This window comes from Homo sapiens, chromosome 4 (genome assembly GCF_000001405.40).
Source record: "Homo sapiens chromosome 4, GRCh38.p14 Primary Assembly".
Classification (NCBI taxonomy): domain Eukaryota; kingdom Metazoa; phylum Chordata; class Mammalia; order Primates; family Hominidae; genus Homo; species Homo sapiens.
In genome coordinates, this window is record NC_000004.12 from 113,646,222 (window position 1) to 113,668,569 (window position 22,348).

At 35.7% G+C, this 22,348-nt stretch overlaps 1 protein-coding gene across 53 annotated transcripts in view; it reads right to left on the bottom strand.

Moving 5' to 3' along the window:
• CAMK2D (calcium/calmodulin dependent protein kinase II delta) overlaps window positions 1–22,348 on the bottom strand; it is a 310,707-nt gene that overhangs the window by 195,190 nt on the left and 93,169 nt on the right. For all 53 annotated transcript variants that reach the window (NM_001321578.2, NM_001321577.2, XM_017008674.3 and 50 more), the window contains one exon: window positions 15,492–15,551. Coding sequence is in view for 48 of the 53 variants with exons in the window: in NM_001321577.2 (NP_001308506.1) it covers window positions 15,492–15,551 (60 nt within the window). In the remaining 5 variants the exon portion in view is untranslated. The remainder of the gene's footprint in view (window positions 1–15,491; window positions 15,552–22,348) is intronic.

Sequence of the window (22,348 nt, forward strand, 5' to 3'; positions counted from 1 at the left end):
AATCTAAACTTGAACTTAAAAAAAATATATGTACCCACACGTTGTTTAACTCCTATAGCATGTATTTATTGAGCGCAGACTCTACGGCAGGTGCTTTTTTAGGTACAATAATAAACAAGAAAAGTCCATGCCCTCATGAAGTTTTACATACTACTGGGTAGAAAACAATCAAATCAACAAGTAAATATACAAAATCTTGTTAAGTGCATCAGAGATAAAGCAAGAAGGATGCTAGGGAGTGCTGGGTGGGGCATGGGGGAGGAAGGCTGCTCTTTCACACACAGCTGTCAGGGCAGGCCTCCACTTTGGATGAGCAAAGGCCTGCAGGAAGTGAGCCAGCATGCCTCCTTGCTGTATCCTCAGAAAGAACTCCAGGCAAAGGCCCAGCAGGAGGATATCAGGAACAGGTGAAGAAATGCAAGGAGCCCAGAGGGGTTGGAGCAGAGCAACTGAGGGGGAGAGAAGCTAAGATCAGAAGAACAATAAGCTAAGAAGGGAGAGAGGGTGTTCATTGTGGAAGGCCTTGCAAGCCTTGCATGCCATCCCCTCGTTCTCTGAGTGCAGTGGGAAGCCACTGATTAGTTTCCGAGGAGAGGAAAGACATGGTCAGACTTGCAGTAGCCAGAGTAATCCTGTTAAAATTAAATCGGATATTGTCACTTCACCATTTAAACATTAAAACCTTCCCAAATGAAAAACAAATAACTGCATCATAAACCTCCAACCTATTTATTATCTCAAAAAATAATGTTTTCTAGTTTACCGAAAAACCTCATGATAGCCTTACATAATTTTTTAAAAAATTTCACTGGAAGGTGTTTTGCAGTTGTTACACCATAGTAACACATCACTGATTCAGATTAATTGGGGAAAAGACCCGTCAAAATTAGTTAAAAGACTAAATTATTCTATTATATTTAAATAGCTTTCATTACCTTTTTGTGTGTGAAGGAATCAGGATTGCCAAGGTTGCCTAATAAAATCTGTTCTGATGAATAGATTTATAAGGATTGTAATTAGCATATGTCAGCATCAGACTATGCTACCTTGGCTCTGCTTACCGTACAATTTCTATGCTTCAATTTAATTAGATACAATATAAATTGTTTCAAAAGCAGTTTATTTTCTTTAATAGATTTGTCCTTTACTTAAGAAGATGCACTGCCTACTTTTTTTATGAAAAAGAAAATTGCATGGCCCCAGAAGTAAATCAAATAATGCTGGCTATTTATCTTTTTGTTGTAATTGTAACTCTTACTTTAAATCACTGAGTTCCTCAATATTAGTACTATGGCATTTTGGAGCAGATAATTCATTATTGTGAAGGGCTCTTCTGTGCATTGTAGGATGCTTAGCAGCCTCCACCCAAGAGATGCCAGAATGGCACCCACAACTGTGACAGTCAAAAATGTTTCTACACATTGTCAAATGTCTCCGGAAGGAAGAGAGAGTAGAGGGGGCAAAATCATCCCAGGTTGAAAACTGTTACCTTAAATGAATGATCCTCTGTCTTTCTGTGGGGGAAAAATGGTTCCATCTCTTTTCTCTCATCCATATTATGAATATATTCTTAGAAAATGACCAGAAGATGTAATTTAATTTTGAATGGCAGATTTATATAAGAAATATCAAAAGAAAAGGTCACTGGAATAATCAACACATATGAGAATAACATTTGAAAACCATGTTTTATCAGAGTTCTCTTAGAGAGTTCCTAACAAATAAGCTTAAATGCACATTTGGCACTACAACTTTTAAATGAGAAATTATTTGGGAGAAGGAGATTGGCAGAAGGAAATAATGACCTTCAAAATAGTAACTCATTATAGCTTTAACAAAATTAAGACTGTAGTTAAAATTTATAGTCTTCCTACTTTTCTAAGAGTATAAATTGATATAACCCTATTTAAAATTGGGGTAGTTGGATTATTATTGTAAAAAGAAGCCTATACTGCATTTTTGTACATCTCAAAATATTTTGTTCCCAAATATAATTTCCTTTTATTCATCTAGAATAAAAATTTAGCTGTTTTATATATTAAATGTTTTAAAATATATTCAGAATGAAAGTAATCTAAGAAAATGGCTGTTGTTATTGCTCCTTAAAAGAAGTCAAATTTTTACAAATAAGCATTTTCATCATTCTGTCTATGGCCCCCTTGGTAATATACTGTTGGGCACGTTCATATGCTCTCACTATCCCATACATGTAGATGACTCAAAACATATATTCATACTCTCTACAGCTCTATGTGGTATCCCACATGCAAGTCTGATGGGATATACACAAATGAAAGTAGTTGAGCCAACAAAAGATACATGTTTGGGAAAGGCACAAGGGACCGGTAAGAAGTGAGCTTTACTTTAGTGGACAGAATGGGGGGAAAAAGCACCCTAGAAATAAGTGCTCAACCACAGTTAGGTGGTGATGGAGTTGCTACAGACGTTATGTTGCTTTTTCAGCAGATACTTTGAGCACCCAACTTGACTGCTCTTGACTCAGCAGCATTCAGTCTTAGTCTAAGAAAGATGATCACAGTCACAGCCAAATATTTCCATCCTGAAGAGGATGCTCACATGGTAAGAAGCTTATATCTTCTGCCAAAAAGTGAAAGATCAGGGGTTTGGGTAGTGGCATTTGCGACTTCTAGTCTTCCTTTTTTGTCCATGTTCCCCCATAATGGAAATGTTCCAATCCTTAAAAAAATAATGTTTTCAAATCAGTGAAATTTCTAATTTCTCCCAATGTTTTTTCCTCCTTTGTTGCCTATTGTCAGTTAAAGGGATCAACATCTCTCTAGTCACGCAAACTAGAAACCTCAAAGAAACCTCTTAGCCCATCTGCCACAAGTTAATTGTTGCTCAAGATCTGATTCCACAGCAACATCTTTGGTAGCTTTGCCCTCCTTGCCATCCCTGATCCCATTGCTATGGTTGAGGAACTCATCATGCCTTACACCTACATTCACTCCAGAGACTTTCAGATGCTCTTTCAACACCAATTTTTCCTGACACCACATAATTATGCTTATTACTACTAAATCTGTCCTAAAAAACTGATATAATCATGAGTCGACTAAATAAATCTTAATTAATTCTTTATTTTCTCCAGATTAAAAATCAAATTCCTTCCCAGACTCTCCATTATTATTCTCAATCAACTTTTATTTCTGACACACATATATAATAACGCCAATCATTACAGGTTTTCAGTCATTCAAGTGCGACAAAGACTTTTAACTCTATTTTTTCTTTTGTGGGCCTGTCTTTCTATAATGCTCTTCAGTCCAATCCCTACAACTTTATGGCAAAATTCTGTTCACCATCCAATATATTTCAGTTAAGATTCTTAGCTTGTATGTTAGTGCTCCCATGGCACCTTATTAGTAGTTTCATTATAGTATATAATCACACTATATTTCAGTTGCATACATAATTATTTGTCCTTTAAAATTGTGAACTCTTTTTGGTCAAGGAATATGTCTCATTCATCTTTGTAGTCTACCAGTACTTTAGCTACAACAGAGTTAGCGCTATTCAACTCAATCAAGCTTAACCATTAGAAATGGAAGACAACTGGCCAGGCGTGGTGGCTCATGCCTGTAATCCCAGTACTTTGGGAGGCCGAGGTGGGCAGATCACCTGAGATCAGGAGTTTGAGACCAGCCTGGCCAACATGGCGAAACCCTGTCCCTACTAAAAATACAAAAATTAGCTGTGTGTGGTGGCACGTGCCTGTAATCCCAGCTACTCGGGAGGCTGAGGCAGGAGAATAGCTTGAATGAACCCAGGAGGCAGAGGTTGCAGTGAGCCAAGATCGTGCCACTGCCCTCCAGCCAGAGTGACAGAGTGAGACTTCAACTCAAACAAAGAAATAGGAGACAACTTCCAAATTATGTATAGTTTTATTTTTCTTATCTTTCATTTTACCTTTCCCCAGATTAATATAATTTCCTTTAATTCCAATATCAAATGTGGACATAAAACTAATCTAATGATTGTTTAAGAAATTAGACGGCTGGGTGTGGTGGCTCATGCCTGTAATCCCAGCACTTTGGGAGGCTGAGGTGGGTGGATCACGAGGTCAGGAGTTCGAGACCAGCCTGGCCAACATGGTGAAACCCCATCTCTACTAAAAATACAAAAATAGCCAGGCATGGTGGTGCATGCCTGTAATCCCAGCTGCTCGGGAGGCTGAGGCAAGAGAATAGCTTGAACCTGGGAGGCAGAGGTTGCAGTGAGCCGAGATCGTGACACTGCACTCTAGCCTGGATGACAAGAGTGAAACTCCATCTCAAAAAAAAAAAAAAAGAAATTAGAGAAAAATATAATGGGTGGAAACAAATTAAATTAACATTTCATTTATTAAATTTTTCAAAAGATTTCGAAAAAACATTTCCAGATCTAATCAAAATATAATGGGATGTTTTATCACTTCAATTTGAAAGTGAGCATTTTGCTCTAAATGAAAAATAGATAAGACAAAGCATAGCATGTTTTTTGACAAATATCCAACACAAATTCATGTGAATATGCAAAACTGCCTATGCCTATGGAAATAATAATTATGGATGTCTCAAGGAAAGTGTTTACAAAATAATGAGATTCTGCACATGTATTAGTAAGTAATATCATTTTCTGAACAGAACAAGTGAAAGAAAAGACATCCTACACTTCAAAATAATGCTCACGAAACATACTGTTATCTTCTTTGGTGAACAACTTGGTATGCTACAAAAATTTTTCCTCTTATTCTATGCATTTGGTTAAAACACACAATAGCCCATCACTAAAAACTGAAAGTAATCTTTGGAGACTGAATTATAAAAACTACTGAACTTCAACAGTGTGAGCAAAATCTTCTGTCATTTCACAGGATATGTTATAAATTACTACTGAAGTGAAAAACGTGAAAGAATATTTTAAGAGAATTCAAGTCATATCACTGTTTACTTTCCTTCAACATAGACCATTAGACTTCTAAACTAAATAATAAAATTAACAAGTTATTTCAAACAATAACCTGACATGATCATAAATCCATGGTGAGCTCATTAGAGCTAGATATGATTTTGTTAAACTGATGTACTATAAATCAAATTCAGAGAGCAAACACTTCTACCTATGGAGCATTTTTAAAGAAAACAAATTCCTGTGTTCAAATGTGTAAATAATAAGAATATGAAGCTACCTTTTCTACTGTGGCAAATTCCTACCAAAGTAAACTGCAGCTAGGAAAAAAAGTGACAAAAAGAAATGCTATAATTGAACTCTAAAGTACACTTTCAAAAGTTATCTCAAACCCCTAAATTGGTATTCCTCTGTATACTCTAAGTAAGTTATAAGCAATGATTGTTTTAAAAAAATTGAGGGCTTATCTGATGTAAGAATTCATCATCACATTACTATCTGGTCCTGATTTCTTTTTCTACAATGTAAAGCAGAGTTTTAAAATGTTTTGTCATACATTGTACAAATTATATTAATTACTATTGTTTCCTTAGCCTTCATTGTTTTCTGACAATTATTTTATTCATTTTCATGATCAGTAAGAGAGAAAAGTAAAAGACTGTCTTGTACAGCGATAATAATTAATTCAGGGCCAGATGTGACCACCTAAAAGATGTAAAAGATAAGCCAGATTTTTTACCAAGATACTAAAAATTGTCATTAAAATATAATTAGTTCTATAATACCTATATTTTCCATAAGCATTTGAATAATAATGTCATGCTAATATTTCCCTCTGGAACAAGGACTAATAATAAATACTAAAATTAGATAATTTAAGCAAGGATTTTTTAATCAATGTTTATAAAATTTTAAAATTATTTTCTGCACTTATTAAAGAATAGTATGACTAATTCAGAGTTATACAGCAGCGATACAGTGCAGTATTGAAGAGCACAGATTGTCATGCCAGAATATGCAGGTTTGGATTCCAACTCCACCATTTACTAACTGCCTGATCTTGATTAAATTGTGTAACCTCTTTAGGCTTTAGATTCCTTGCCTGTAAAATGGAGACAAGAATGATATTTGTTTGTTATGAGAATTAAAATAACTAATGCATGGAAAACACTTTAGACCAGAGCCTGATAACACAGTTAATAGTTTTATCATTAGTTCTAGTGGTGAAGTTCTTTGGAATTCCAATCTAATTTTTTTTTCTAATTCGGCCTACTTCACATCTTAATACAAGTACTTACCATAGGCAAGTTTATTATCAATGCTACTGGAATAAAGGGAAAAGAGGAATGATTTTTAAGTGAACAAAAAGTGTTATCACTTCCCCAACTATCTTCTGGGCTCCCTAGCGACATGAGTTATTCTTCCCCATGGTGAGAAAAGGGAGTGGAGGTGGGATTCTGCACAACTCAAGCCCCAACAAAACAAAGTACTCCTCATGTTTGGGATTATTTTTCTTTCAAATTTCAGTTTAGGGCCGACTTCTGAGCTGAAGAAATTACTATAAACTTCCAATACCCTGTTAGGGGATTCTACCCTGAATGTAGTGGAGACAGGGCAAGATGGAAATCAAATAGGCTTAGTAGAATAAATCAGAACTATTTCAGTAAATATTATGCATTGATAGATCAAAGTGTAATCTATGTACTATAAGTAACTCTAAAAATGAAACTATCCTTCATTTGTAACAGAAGGACTCTTTTTCTCCAGTTTCATGTATAAATCTACCTACTTCTAAATTAACTTAGTGAAGTGGCTTTTTCATTGATACATGGAAAAAAATATTGACAAAGAAACCAGTAACAAATGTACTCAGATTCAAATTCACCAATGGAAAAGATTTTGAAGCATTATCTTGAATATACAATTTTTATATTCAAATTTTGTCTTTTTAGTAAAATAAGCATTTACTTAAAAAGACGATAAATTTAACTTTCTACCAAGAATTATAAAGAATACATAACTGGCACCATATTGTATAAACAAAGGAAAAAAAGCTAAAACAGATAATTAGAATTTTTTGAACATATTTATTTGAAGAGAAAAATATATCGCTGTGCTAGTTCTCACATTTATTAAAAGAGAATAATCAATTTTGCAGACTGTTATATATTCTAAGAAGTAATTTGGCCTTCTCACCAAATAATCATAATAAAGAGCTGAGATTTAATCAAATAAGGTAAATATAAAATAAGATAATTTGCTTTTTGCTACTAAATAGTATTAAAATACTTTTAATCTGTTAGAGAGTCACTAGAGAAAGTAGTTAACAAGAAAAATTACTTACTCTTGTTTGATTACAAACTACTCTAATTTTTAGGCAGAACCATCAATAAGGGAGAGGTCACAGAAAAAAACTGCGTCGCTTTCTTAGACTGTTGCTCAACTTCTGATGCCATTGAAAAAGACTTTTAATTGTCATTCATAAAACTATTAACTTTGTTTTCTCAGTAGATCAATTAACATTTACTCTGCATTAACTCTACTCTTCTTTCCTATGTGATTTTGTTTCCAAGGGTTCAAAAACTGGAATATTGGTACAATAAACACATAAGGCAATTTACTCATTTATAAGTAAATACTGGGTATATTTAAGAGAAATATTTAGTAAGCTTAACCTGTACAATGTGATTGTATGGGTTCCTTACAGAACCTGAGGAACCTAGAAGACAACTGCATGCAGAGAAGGATAAAAAGGCAAAATTTATGGTTAAAATCATCTGCTAAAGACAAAAGAACAAACAAAAAATGACAGTTAATTTATTTCATAAAAACTTGAGGAATGGTATTTGAGCGAAAAATTTCTTGTGAAAACTAGGGAGATCTAAGATTGTGGTTAAAATATTACTTTTACAGGATGACATCATATCTCCAAAGTCACCAAAAAGAAGAAACACTACGTGCTAAACGAAGTAATACACAGATTGTGTGTTTTTCATCTCTTTTTAGATCTGGGTATGATCCTGGGCATATTACTTCACTACTTAAACCTTCAATTTGTAGAATCTAGGTTGGTCTTAGGTAATTCCTAAGAGCTCTTCCAGTTTTAAATTTTAGGAAAAGAAAATTATATAGATCCTAAATGCCATTATTACTCATAGGAATGGGAAACATGCTTTTATAGAAAGTAAAGGCTCTTATATATTCTTTAATCTCCACCTGTCAGCACATGAAATTTTATGTACTGTTATATATGTGAAACAATAAATCATCTTTAAGCAGAGCATCTTTCTTAAACACACTGGTTCTATACCAGGGCTAATATATATGGTAGGTAGCTGTAACTTATGCTGTCTAAAATGTAAAGGCTTTCTCTTCCTGTATTAATATTGAAAGTTTTTTAGTTAATGTTTATCTTATGTGAGGGGAGGAATCGATTTGAACCAAAAACAACCTCAAAACTCTCCTCAAAAGGGAACAAAAACATTGCTTTTTCAATCTTGCTGCTTCAAGTTAGGTTCCCTAAACATCGCCATCTCTTTACAGAAGCAATCAACAATTTAGGTCTGGCAATATCATTAAAGAACTGTGACTTTGGACAAATCATATACATTTGGAAAATTTTAGCTCTCCTAAATATTAAAACAAAAAAATTAGAGTTTATGCTAGATAATGTATAGGATCTGCTGTTGCAATATTACAATTATCTGATTATGTGTAATACATATCATATATTATATACTATATACAACATATATATCATATAGAATATATGATATTTGAAAGTTTCTGAAATATATTTCCCCATTGTTGAATACGCACATCTCAGAAAGACACTACTAAATGCTAAGAAATGAATTAATTAGTTACTACTTGGTAAGCAGTACCCCATAATAATGTACTCAACTGTTTATTTAAATTAATCGTCTTACAAAATATATTAACTCCTCACCAAAGTAAGATGCATTACCTCATTCTATTGATTCTTGGAAGGAAATAAAAAAGGCAAATATTTTCTCTGCTTTACAAAGAGAGGAACTAGAACTTGGTGAGTGGATGGGATTGTATAAGCAGATCACAGAGCAGGCCAGCATCAGAAGGAGAATAAACTGTGGCCCAGTGAATCTATAGAGCTTTCCATTAACACTATGCCTCTTATTATCTGTTACACTTTGTAGTGTATGAGTGAGTGTGTTTATGCATTTTGGGGTAGTGGGTAGGAAAGCCAGTAGAGAGGAGGTAATCATTGAGCTATGACGTGATCTAGAAAGGTTAATTCATTCCCTGCACTAGGGGTTCCAGGGTATCACTAAAGACTAGATTCAAAAGGTTACATAGCTCTTCCATTTGCTCTCTAGCTGCTGAAGTTCATTAAGCCATATTATAATGGGAAACGCTTACCTTATAAAGATAGTGTTAATCTACAAATATAAATGTTGCTTCAAACTTTCAAAAAATTACCTTGCTCTTTCTAAAGTCTACACAAAATGTAAACACAAGTCTTTAGGGAATGGGACAACCCGGCAACAGAATTCATCATCCCATGAACTGCAAAGTTGTCTCAAATATTGATCTTTTCCCAAATAAAGGCCCATACATGAATATCTTCTCTCTTGGGACAATCAGATAAGTCAGATCAAAGTTCTCAATATTTTTTCTTTTCCTTTCCTGGCCCAGCTGTTTTTGGACTCTTATGGTTGAATTAAATGAATTTTTTTCCTGTTTTCCTATTTTCTCTTTACCATTGTTTGTTATCTGAGCTTCACCATAAGTTTAAATAAATTCCTCAAATCAAAGACCAAGAATAAAAACAGTATGAATATCAAATAATTTTGAGAATTTGGCTATCACCTCAAATATTTTATTTCAATACCTGAAAGGTATTTTTCTTTTACTTATTTGATACATATGTTGACATATAGCTCAGAATTTCTGGCTTACAACAAATTTGTTAATTCCTCAAAGAAAAATAAGCCAATTTTATTAAAATAAAAGGTGAACAGAATGATCAAACATTAACTAAGCTAAGCACAAAGTAAGGTGTTCTCCTCAAATTGCTTCAACATCTTAATGTCAGCTATAATCTTTCCAGTTTGAGGTTCAAACAAAAATTGCCTGGCTAGAGCACAGCAAAGATGGAGCTTCTTTAAAAACGGGCTGTACTCTACAATTTGTTGAGCCAAAAGATGCATGGTGCTTTCTTGGATCATGTGGACCACACCAAAGAGAGAACCAACCTGGAGCTGTTTAAATTCTTATCCAAGAAGATGTAGTTCAGGGGTACTAGGCTGATAAGACTAGATTCTGATATCCTGACTGAACACTATTATCACTGATTGTGCTCATGTAACTAGGAAACCATTTTACACATAGCAGACACAGCAAAGCAGATTATGATACACTTTTGCTTAAAATCCCACTATTGGTTTCCCATTGCATGTAGAATGAAACCCAAACTCCCAAATCTGGTTAACGAAACCCTACTTGGTTAAATATCTACCTGCCCTGTTCAGTCACTCCCTTTCCCCCATGGCAGTCCATCTACTGGTTTCCCTACTTTTCCCCTAACAAGGAGGGCTCTCTGTGCCTGAAACTCTTTTCTCTTTTTCATGATGGCTTCCACCTGTCATTTAGATATCAGTTTAAATGTGACCTCCATAGATATATCTTGCCTGACAAAACGCTCTAAAGCAGTGACCAAGACTCTCTCCCTAACCAAACATCAGGCAGGTTCCTCTTTTCAACTAGATCTCATCCTTGGACAATGTCCCTAACCTTCCTAAGCCAGCCTAAATGAAGAATCCTACGAAGTGATTTCCCACCTTTGATATCTCATCAAGGTCTTCATCCTCTACCCTTAATGTCTAAGTCCTTGGCCTGCCTTTAGCAAGAATCTTGTTAGTCCAGTTCAGCAACTCCCTATCCTTGATGTCTCCTCTTAAAAATCTTCCATCCACTGACCCCCTCACTCTGCTCCTTGACTATAAATCCCCAGCTGTCATTGCTGTGTTTGGAATGAAGTTCAGTTCTTTCCTCAATTGCAATAGTACAAAATAAAATCTGTATCGGCTTTAACTGGTGTCTGGCTCTGTTTGTTTTTGATAGTAGCCACCCGGTCCCCTGGTATCAAATTACCCTATTTTAATTCTCTGCATAGAACAAATCCTTACGACATTATTATGGTGTTTTGTTTATACACTAGGATGCAAAGCTTTGGGAAAAGAGGGCCATTGTCTCTCTCAATCACTGTTTCATCACCAGTGCATATAGCCTAGAACAAAGCTTGGCAATGGCTACACACTCAAGAAATTTTGTTGGGTGAGACCATTTTCATGATATATCTAAAGGGGTATGAAAATGCACACAAGAGAATGCTGAAAATTAGCATATATATATAAGATTATAAAAAGGCAAAAATGAATAAATCAAATATTAAAAGTTGAGCCCTCAGGTTTCTTCTTTATACAATGTTGTATTTTCCAAATTTTCCACTAACAGTATTACTTTTAAGGTCAGAAAAACATAAAAAATAACACATGAAAAAAAGTAGTTTAATGAATCACCATTTTTAGTTGGTTTAAAATGTGTTTCTTTGGAAGAAACCTTTTGCTTGCTGCAAGTTTTCAAGATTATTGATTCTGTGCCAAGAGAAAGACACATTCAAATATAAAAATGAAACAAGCACATTTTCACAGGGGAAAAAATGGTCAAAAATAGTTATTTCCTTCCTTAAAGTTCTAAAGCCTAGCTGATTTTAAAACCAAGGAAATAATAAAATAGAGAACAGGGAGAAGAGGATAAGAGTCTGATATTACTTAGATATCATATTACCTATGTCAGGGAAATCAAGAGCAAATGCTGTTTTCCCTGTGTAATATGATTCAGTCATGATTGAGTACTAGTGATTCATGTGGTGCTGTTAACTAGTGCGATGATCGACAGGAACTGCAGTACTTTCCTTACACCCTGGGTCAACTACTCTCCAATGCATTTGCAGATGTCCACTTATGGCATCTGTCTTTAAAACACTCCTCCTTTGTTGGCTGTTGCTTACTATTTTATGACAGTCACTGTTGTTATTGATGTTTTAAAATCGTTCTTTACATGAATAAACACAACACTGTCAGATTACATGTCATGGAGATTCATCAATTAAGGTAAGATAAAATGAGAAAGAACTCATCTCCTATTTCTCTCATTAGATAAAAAGCTTTGGTGGAATCTACTGACCTTAGGGCCCTTATGCAGGCTATTGGTTCCCTCTGCCTACAATGTTTTTCGTTTGTTTGCTTGTTTGTTTTTCCCCCAGAGAGCCAAATGACTTCCTTCCTCCCTTCTTTTAGGTCTGCATTCAAATGTATTTCACCTTCTCTATGAAATGGTCCTGACCAACTATTTAAAACTGGAATACCCCAACACCCAGTATTTCCCTCTCTGCTTCCTATTTTTCCTCAACAATTATCACCATCTAATATCCAATGCTTTGTTTACTGCCTGTCTCCCCCAAAACTGCAAGCTCCATGAGGGCAGGGATATTGGTCTGTTTTGTTCCTACTATACACCTAGAAATGTAACTTGTTGAGTGAGTAAATGATACAGGTGAATTTGCCAGTGTTACAATTTTTGAGATTATGTCTCATAAATTTAATCCATCTATGACTTATACACTGAGATAAAGGATCACTCGAAATCTCTCTTGTGGTTAGAAATGGGTCCTAGGGTTCAAGGACCTAGAATTGTCACAGTTCCTTTTGTACTCCTGAAATCTTAAAAGGTTAAAGAAAACCTCCAGTGAGGTAACCAAGGAATTATGACATTTGGCTGTTATGGATCCTCGCAAAAAGATGTACACTGTGTCAGAAGGTGTTGACAATGCTATCTAGGACACAAAAGTTTAGAACTTTCCCCAGCATTCTTTCTCTTTTTATAAGTTTAGTCTGTATGTAGTGTCAAAATGAAAAGAGTTCTTGTTTTAGCTTGGCAGTTTTTCGAGTGTTTGACTTTGGTATCCTAGAGGAAATGGAGGAAACTAGTTTCATTATCCACAAAAATTGAGTTTCATAGGAGGACCTGATACAAACCAAACCAAACCAAAACAAACAAATAACAACTTTCTGCACAGGAATTGCAACTTCACTAAACAAAGATTTGATTTTATCTTAAACCTGAGCAAGAGAAGTAATCTTTGAACTATAGTGGTTCATTGCGTAATTTCTCTTTAGCCAATGTTGTGGGCAAATGATGTCCTCCCCAAATTCCTATGTTGATATGCTAATCCTGATAGCACACTTCAGAATGTGACTGTATTATTTGCATATAGAGTGTCTAAAGGGGTAATTAGGTGAGAATGAGGTTATCAGTGTGGGCCCTAATCCAATATGACTGGTGTCCTTACAAGAAGAAATGAGGACGCAGACATTATACAGAGGGAAGACCATGTGAAGACACAGTGAGACGACAGCCACCTACTTGCTTAGGAAGGAGGTCTCAGAAGAAACCAAACCTGACAACACCTTCATCTTAGATTTCTGGCTTCCAGAGCTATGAGAAAATAAATTTCTGTTGCTTAAGCCACCCAGTCTGTGGTACTCTCTTACTGGCAGTCTTAGCAAACCAATACAGCCAAACAAGAAATGCCATAAATTTTTGTCAGAGTAAAATGCTTCTAGAGAGGTAGATTTATATGTCAGAGTTGTTTTGTTCTCTCCTCAAACCAGAAGGTTCCTTTTAATCAGCTGGCAGTATGTTTTGTTCCTACTATACACCTAGAAATGTAACTTGTTGAGTGAGTGAATGATATAGGTGAATTTGCCAGTGTTACAATTTTTTTTACCCATAGTATCCATTCATTTAAGACCCTAAGATGCACCCACTAAGTGCAGAATACTAAAAACATCAAAGCAGGAATAGAAATTGAATGCCCCTACACATAAAATTAAAACACCTGTAAACTTTTCAGTGAAAGATTTTGCAAATTCTACATCACTGTTACCCCTTTTCTCACTGCTTCTAGATCAGAAATACTTAGGTTAACAATAAAATTGAGGGAGCTGGGACAGTAACATTTTTCCAAAATAATCAAACCTATTATCACAGAATCCAGTTTACACATATTTCTGAATTTACTTTTTCTTTCCTGTGTTTTTCTTGTTTCTTATATTCATCACATTTTAAAAATTTTGAAAAGTCATGCAATTTTATAATTCATGAGGGATAAATATTCTAAAGTCCTTTTACTATTTCTAGAATCAAATCAATAACTATAAGGTAAACTTTTTTGTTTTTGGAGACAAGGTCTCATTTTGTCACCCAGGCTGTCTGAAGTGCATGGCTCACTGCAGCCTCAACCTCCTGGGCTCAAGCAATCCTCCCACCTTAGCCTCTCTAGTACCTGGGACCATACATGCACACTACCACATCCAGCTAATTTTTTTAATAGTTTGTAGAGATATGGTCTTGCCATATTGCCCAGGCTGGTCTCAAACTCCTAGGTTCAAGCGATCCTTCTGCCTCACCCCTCCAAAGTGCTGGGATTATAGGCGTAAACCACCGCACCTGGCCTAAAGTAAACTTTCTACAGGATATATGGAATGTAATTTAGCTGAGTAAAGTGATGACATAAATCCTGTCTTTCCATACTTCAGCAGCAGTAGCTGAACAATTCTTTTTTTTTTTTTTTTTTTGAGACAGAGTCTCGCTCTCTCGTCCCAGGCTGGAGTGCAGTGGCGCAATCTCAGCTCACTGCAAGCTCCGCCTCCCGGGTTCAAGCCATTCTCTGGCCTCAGCCTCCCGAGTAGCTGGGACTACAGGCGCCCGCCACCACGCCCGGATAATTTTTTTGTATTTTTAGTAGAGACGGGGTTTCATGTGTTAGCCAGGATGGTCTCCATCTCCTGACCTCGTGATCCACCCGCCTCGGCCTCCCAAAGTGCTGGGATTACAGGCATGAGCCACCGCGCCCGGCCTGTAGCTGAACAATTCTTAAAGACACATAAAAGCACTATTCAAATGAGACCTTATATTATTTTTTGAAGTGTTTATACATAATCACAACCTTTTGAAAAACTATATATATAACTTTTCAAAAAATTGTTATACTTGTTTCATTTTTACCTTCACAACTATTTTCCCAATTAGGTAAAGGATTATTGTTTTCATTATACGACTCTACAGAAAGGACATTGAACTCATTAACATAGCAGACTCCAAATTATGTGGTTAAAATAAAGCTAATATAACCAGGGATTACCTAAATTTATTTATTTATTCTTTAAATTACACTCAGGTTTTCCACTGGTTGGTACACAACTTTCAGCACAACAGAAAACATACACTATTAATTAATTTAGTATCTTTGTTTCCACAAACTTAATTTTTCACATTTCTACTTCAAAGATTGCATCAAAAAACAAACAGCAAACACAGGAAAACTTTGAGGTATCAAATGTAACCAAGATTGAAAGTTAGGAACCTATTTTTTAAAAGTTATAAATATTCTAGATTATAAAATTAGCATTTTTATTGTGGTAAATAACATAAAATTTTAAATTAACATTTAAAAAACATTAAAAATACGTTCTCACCAATATTAGGGTGCTTCAAAAGACGGCAGATTCTAGCTTCTCTTTCTAGTTTCTGATGATCTGTTAAAAAAAAAAACAGAATAAGGCAAAAATAAAGCAAAAAATAATAAAACACAATAAACAGCATAACAAAATGACAAAAGGCCTTTGCATTTACTTATCCTTTGATTTCATTTTGAAACAATGATAATTCAAATTTAGAATTAAGTGAATAGCACATAGTTCAACAATCTAATTTTATTTTTCACTGACTTGATGCTTGACAGAGTGCAGTATAGAACAGTGCTAGATTTAGACTTCGGGAAAATAGTGGAAATTGCACAAAACAATACTATTCTTTCTCATCTTTACATCAAGTATATATTATTGTAATAAGTTAAATAACCCAGTATAGACATACCAATTTAGAGCAGAGGATGCATATATGGAAATTGAATTGCCAATGGAATAAGTGCTAAGTCAGGTAATTATATTTTATCCCTAATGGAGAATGTTCTCTGTTCAGTCATATGTTCTGTTAACCATTCTCCTTACAATTGTTGGCTCAACTTCCTAGGTATATGATGCTCTTCCTAATATCAAAGATTTCCAAAAATCCCTAATTGCTTGCTCATCTTTACCTTTCTATGTTTCCCTAACCATTTCTTTGAAGAAACATGAAACACTATAGACTTGTGTTTTAAGAATTATCTTAATATTCTTCTTTGATTTTTTGGTGGAGGTACCTATAAACATAAATATAACCAAAATGACTCATCAAAACACAAAATAAATCATAGAGAGAAGACAAAAATATGGTAGAAACACATGTTGCTGATAAGGGTAGCAGTGTATAGTGGTCATTAGTTGAAAACTTATACACAAAATATCTGATTTAAATCTTACAACCACCATCTTATATTGGCAATATTATCCCTATTTTAAAATACAAATGCCAGTAGTTTAACACCACTGCCTCGATTAATGCAAAGCCTCCAGCAATTTCATCCACTATTTCTTTTGCATTTATGATGCAACACATGTCAACACATATAAAAATGTCAACACTTCTTTAAATAAAAGGAAAATAATGTTTTAGTTTTAGTTTGGAAATAGTTTTGACCTTGAAGATCCCCTAAGAGAGTTTCTGGCACTCCCTGGGTCTGCAGACACACTCTGAAAACCACTCGTCTGTGCTATAATGAACTGTTGTATATAATGTATATAATGTAGATTTTTTTTGGCCATTTAGAAAAATATTTTAAACACGTATAGTGCTATTAATAACTCAAAGTGTCAAAAAACAGTGTCTTAATAAATCAGCCCAGCATTAGATAGGCTCTAACAGTGTATCTCCATTATATCTGGATTCCCAAATACAAAGATAGATACTCTCTGGACCTACCATTATCTAAAATTATACCTACTTCAAATAAATGTAAATTCTTCAAACTCCCTATCTTTTTAACAAGTACTTATTCTTAAGACAAGCTACTTCCAACTTATTTAGAAGTATGCAAGCAAACACAAAAAGTAAAGGTAGATTTTGAAAATGCCTCTAACAGCAATACCATAAATATTGCAAAGTGTTATACCTAAAGTATATGAAAGAGGCTGGGCACAGTAGCTCACCCCTGTAATCCCCGCACTTTGGTAGGCTGAGGCGGGTGGATTGCTTGAGGCCAGGAGTTCAAGACAAGCCTGGCCAACATGGCAAAATCTCATCTCTACCAAAAAAAACACAAAAATTAGCCGGGTGTGGTGGTTGGTGCCTGTAATCCCAGCTACTCAGGAGGCTGAGGCAGAAGAATCACTTGAACCCGGGAGATGGATGTTGCAGTGTGCTAAGAACGTGCCGCTGCACTCCAGCCTGGGTGACAGCGGGAGGCTCTGTCTAAAAATAATAATAATAATAATAATAATAATAATAAAGTACATGAAAGACATATACTTAAACAGAGATTTGAATTTTGTTATGGAGACAGGGATATGAAAATATATGTGCTGAACTATGTGATTTTTTTATATATATAAATCATCTGAAAAATATATAATTACATTAAAATAAAGAATAAAAAGGAAGCAAAAGACCTTTACAGACAGTAAGTTCTACAGAGTTTTTGCTATAGAGATAAACATAACTATAAAAAAATTATCGTATGAGCTGAACTGTTGTTTCCCCATAAAATTCATATGAAGCCATCCTAATCTCCAGTTCCCACAGAATGTGACTGTATTTGGAGATGGAATGTTTAAAGAGGTGACTGAGTTAAAATGAGGTCATTATTGTGGGCTCTAATCTAATATGACTGGTGTCCATATATGAAAAGGGGACTAGTGCACTGACACACACAGAAGGAAGATCACGTGAAGAGACGAGGATAAGACAGGCATCTACAAGGCCAAGGAGAAAAGCCTCAGAAGAAATCAACGCTTCTGACACCTTCATCTTAGACTTCTGAGCCTCCAGAATTGTGAGAAAATAAATTTCTCACAATTGGCTATTTAAGCCACCTAGTCTGTTGTACTTTGTTGTGGTAGCCCTATCAAACTAATACATCTAATGTATCAGTTTTCTATTGCTATGTGTCCAACACCTCAAACTTAGAAGCTTAAAACAATGCATATGTATAATCTCACAGTTTCTGTGGGTCAGGAACCTGGGCATATCTTAACTGAGCCCTTTGCTTTAGGGTCTCTCACCAGGCTGCAATCAAGGTGTCAGCCACGGCTGGGGTCTCATCTGAAATCTTGACTGAGGAAGGATCTGCTTCCAAGCTGGCATAGTTGTTGGCAGTACTCAGTTCCTACAGGACTTGTTGAGGTAAGGGTCTGAGTTCCTAGCTAGCTGTTGGCTGGAGGATGCCCTCAGTTCCTTGCATGTGCCAATATGGCAACATGTTTCATCAAAGTCACCAAAGGGAAGAGTATGGTAAGCAAAAGGGCAGGTCATTATCTTATTTAGCCTAATCACAGAAGTGATATCCCATCATGTTTTCCATATTCAATTGGTTAGAAAAAAAAACCTAGGCTGGCCCAATTTCAATGTACAAGGGCATGAACAACAGGAGGCAGGATTATTAGGGCATCTTAGAATTTGTCTGCCACAGTAGATTTTTTTTTTTTTTTGAGACAGAGTTTTGCTCTTGTCAACCAGGCAGGAGTGCAATGGCACAATCTTGGTTCACTGCAACCTCCACCCCCCGGGTTCAAGCAATTCTCCTGCCTCAGCCTCCCAAGTAGCTGGCATTGCAGGCACCTGCCACCATGCCCAGCTAATTTTTGTATTTTTGGTAGAGATGTGGTTTCACCATGTTGGCCAGGCTGGTTTCAAACTCCTGACCTCAGGTGATCCACCCTCCTCAGCCTCCCAAAGTGCTGGGATTATGGGCATGAGCCACCGTGCCCAGCCCACAGTAGACTTTATAACAATAGTACTGATGGGCTTTCTCTTGAAAAGCAGCTTCATTTACTTTTCCTCCATATAATCACATAACTTAGTGATCTTCTATGAATCATAGGCATTCTGCACTCTCCCACTGGGACATGTTTTGACATCCCAAACATGATGATATAAGTAAATTCTAGTTTCCATTAAAACTAGAAATTAACAATAATGAAAATGCATATCACCTGGTATGTTTCACATTTAACATCAAGTCCACAACCTGACTTTTAGAGAGAGTAGGCAGGTGAGGAGTGATTAAATACCTACTACAGTATTACCAAAAAGCACATTTCTGTATTTATCCTGCTACAGAGATGGATTACTTTTAAAGTCTCCTTTACTTTTAATTCTGTCAGCAACAAAAACTACATATGCTACCTCATCATTCCCAGCTCTGACAACTACAGTGGCAAGCAGTAAAGACAGATTATAAAAGGCAAGACAGCCATAATACTGTTTGGCACCATTTGAAGATTTTCTTTTATTATCCACAGGCCCTGAAGCCAGTGTGGAACCAGCCTTATTTATCATTTAATATTTATTAAAGTCCTTGAACTATAATAGTTTGGCCTTATTATTCCTTTGAAGCTCAAGTCCATACTCTTATATGAATCAAAATATAACTCTTCAGGCTGTAATCTTGTCAGGTCTGATAAGGTACAAACTGTTAGTAATATATGGTTGAAGACCTGCCATATAAACAATGCCTTAAGGAAAATACATCATCATTTGGTTTTGACATGAAGTCAGCGGGGGAATAATATTACCAGTAGAAAGACTTTTGGATTTTAAAACATTTCTCAAGAATTTTGGTGAAATGTTGTTATAACATTGCTTCCCAGCTAAGATATATTTTAACTTACAAAATATTTTATTTCAAATGAGGTGGAAAATGTGAATTCAGACCTAATGAAGTAAATCCTTGACTCCTGTTCCAAATCAAATTTTAATCTTTATGCAAAAGAATAATCCTGATCACAAATGCAAATTAAAGTGCTAGCCCTGATTCACTTTCACTCAACGATAGAAATATCACTAAAGCTACATAAAGCAACAATATATCTACTCAGGCAATATCAGAGAATAAGCTCTTATCAATAAGCAAATTTCAAAAGTACTTATTTACTCCTCCAAATACCCAAGCATTAAAATATTAACCTTGTTGGGGGGTTGGGGGAAGATCTAACAGTCATTGCTTTCTTACATGAATGACATATATAAAAGAATTTCATCTTTCTTGACACCACTGAGTCCTCATTATTAGCATTAATTATTACTCTCCTGTAATCCAGTGAAGTCCTCAGAGGCTACAGAGGTGTGAAAACCCACAGGTACCTGCACCACCTACCAAATGCCAAGGGAGGGATTTGGGCAAAAGGAGGGGTTGCCTTCTGTCATAATTGGTCAGTTACTGCCCCTCCCAACAAATACACACACATGCATGCACACACACGCACGCATGCACACACACGCACACGCAGGCACACACACATATAAGCATAAAACCTAAGGAAGGCTTGAATTTGCCATGGCCGAGAAGGTTTAATTCTTCTACTCCCCTTCCCCACAAAGAGAATCCCACTCCCAAAATAATCTTATATCAAAATTACAGAGGAGTTGCCCATGGGAGCATGAAAAATGGAATGTTTAAAATCCAGCTCTATCACTAATTTTTACCTTGCTGGCCTTTCGGCTTGTCAGCTTAAGCTGCTGAGCTGCTGAGCTGCTGTGTTCCCTATTCTTATCTCTTTAGTCCTGACCTTTCCTGGCCTTATGCTCCAGTTTGAGATCAATGCCTCAGATCTGTTTTTGAGGGCAGGTTAATTTTGCCTCCCTGGCTTCCTTACTACAGCCAACCCAACTCGATTTTGAAATTTTTCACATTTGTTTCATTTCCAAGAAACTACAGCCTCGAGTAAGAGACATTCTACTTGCCCCTCTGGAAGAAACCTGGCTGGCTACTCATTCTCAGAATAGGGGAAGATAATACTAAATGTACCTAAACTATTTGAAGTTTTATACTGTTGCATCTGCTTATTACATTTTTTTAAAAAATCTCTTCATGAGTTATTGCTGTCAGCTGTTAGTGCTGTGAATGGCTCCAGTACATAAAACAGTTTCAGGGGCACATAACAGGCCTTAAATAAATGTTTGTTGACTGAATAAATGAATGAAGGATGGATGCCCCTTCTTTTTTCACAATTGCTGTGAACGGAGAAATAGAGAAAACAAAAGCTTAAAAATATAATCATAAATAAGCTGGAAGTGAGAACCTAGAGATCCTCTCTTAAAGAAAGATGCACTTTTTAGTGCATGGATTCCGGAGCACTATAATGTAGCTACTCAGAGGCCTTCTTCCTGGAGGTTTTGGAATTACACAGTGAATGCATTTTTCTTGTTAGAGAAATTATGTCTCACTGAATGAGGCATTTCTCTAGAAAGAATATAGAATCTATCCATTTAAGTAGGTCACATTTAAGAACAGACTGCAAGGTAGAAGGGGCTAAGGAAAGGGCCATTTGACTACAAAACCTGAACAGGATGTATATGAATTTAAAGCTGTCATATCCATTTAACAAAAAGTTTTAAAAATTCATAATTAAATATTACAAAACTATGCTATGTCATTGTGTCATAAATTTGAATTTTTAACTATTTGACCTAGAATCTTTCTGACATTAGGGACCAGTCCTTCTGCTGCCCACTATGCCTTGGAAGCATCAGTAAGATCCTACAACTATATAGGATGATTGTTCTTCTTTTCATGGCAAAGTAGAATTAGATATAGATGCTGAAAATTCCTACATCTTAATTTTGAATGAAAGTTTCTATATCTTAATTTAGAAGTGAAACTTTTTGAAAGTCTATTCTGTGCTGGAAGCTCATACAAATGTAGATTATGAATTATGATGTGAGTCCAACCTTGATTCTATATGGCCTGGAAACCATGGCTTCCTTGTGGAGAAGCTCAACCCCAACATTTGAAAAAAAAAATTACGTGAAAAAAGAACCAAGCCTCTACTTCATTTTACCTTCATTCTGCAGTTTCATCTACGGAGGAAAATGGAATTTTCAACTGACTACAGAGGAATAAAAACCCATAACGAAGGTCCCTAATTTTGTAGAACACTAGACACACTGTAAGAGACAAGCCAGAGAAATGGAAAGACCTCTGGCTTCAGAGTGAAGCAGACAAGAATTGCTATCCTGGTTCTACCACTAACTACTAGCTAGGTGTCCAAGTTACTTGACCTTTCCAAAGCTCCTTCCATAACATGGGCATAAAATACCTAGCACCAGGCACTGTATCTGGAACAAAAGAGGTCCTCAAAAAATTATAGTGTCAACACTATTATCATTATTATTGCTAAAAATGTGTCCAACTTTAAAAGAACTAAATTCCTAAAAGCTACATTAAAAATTATATTAA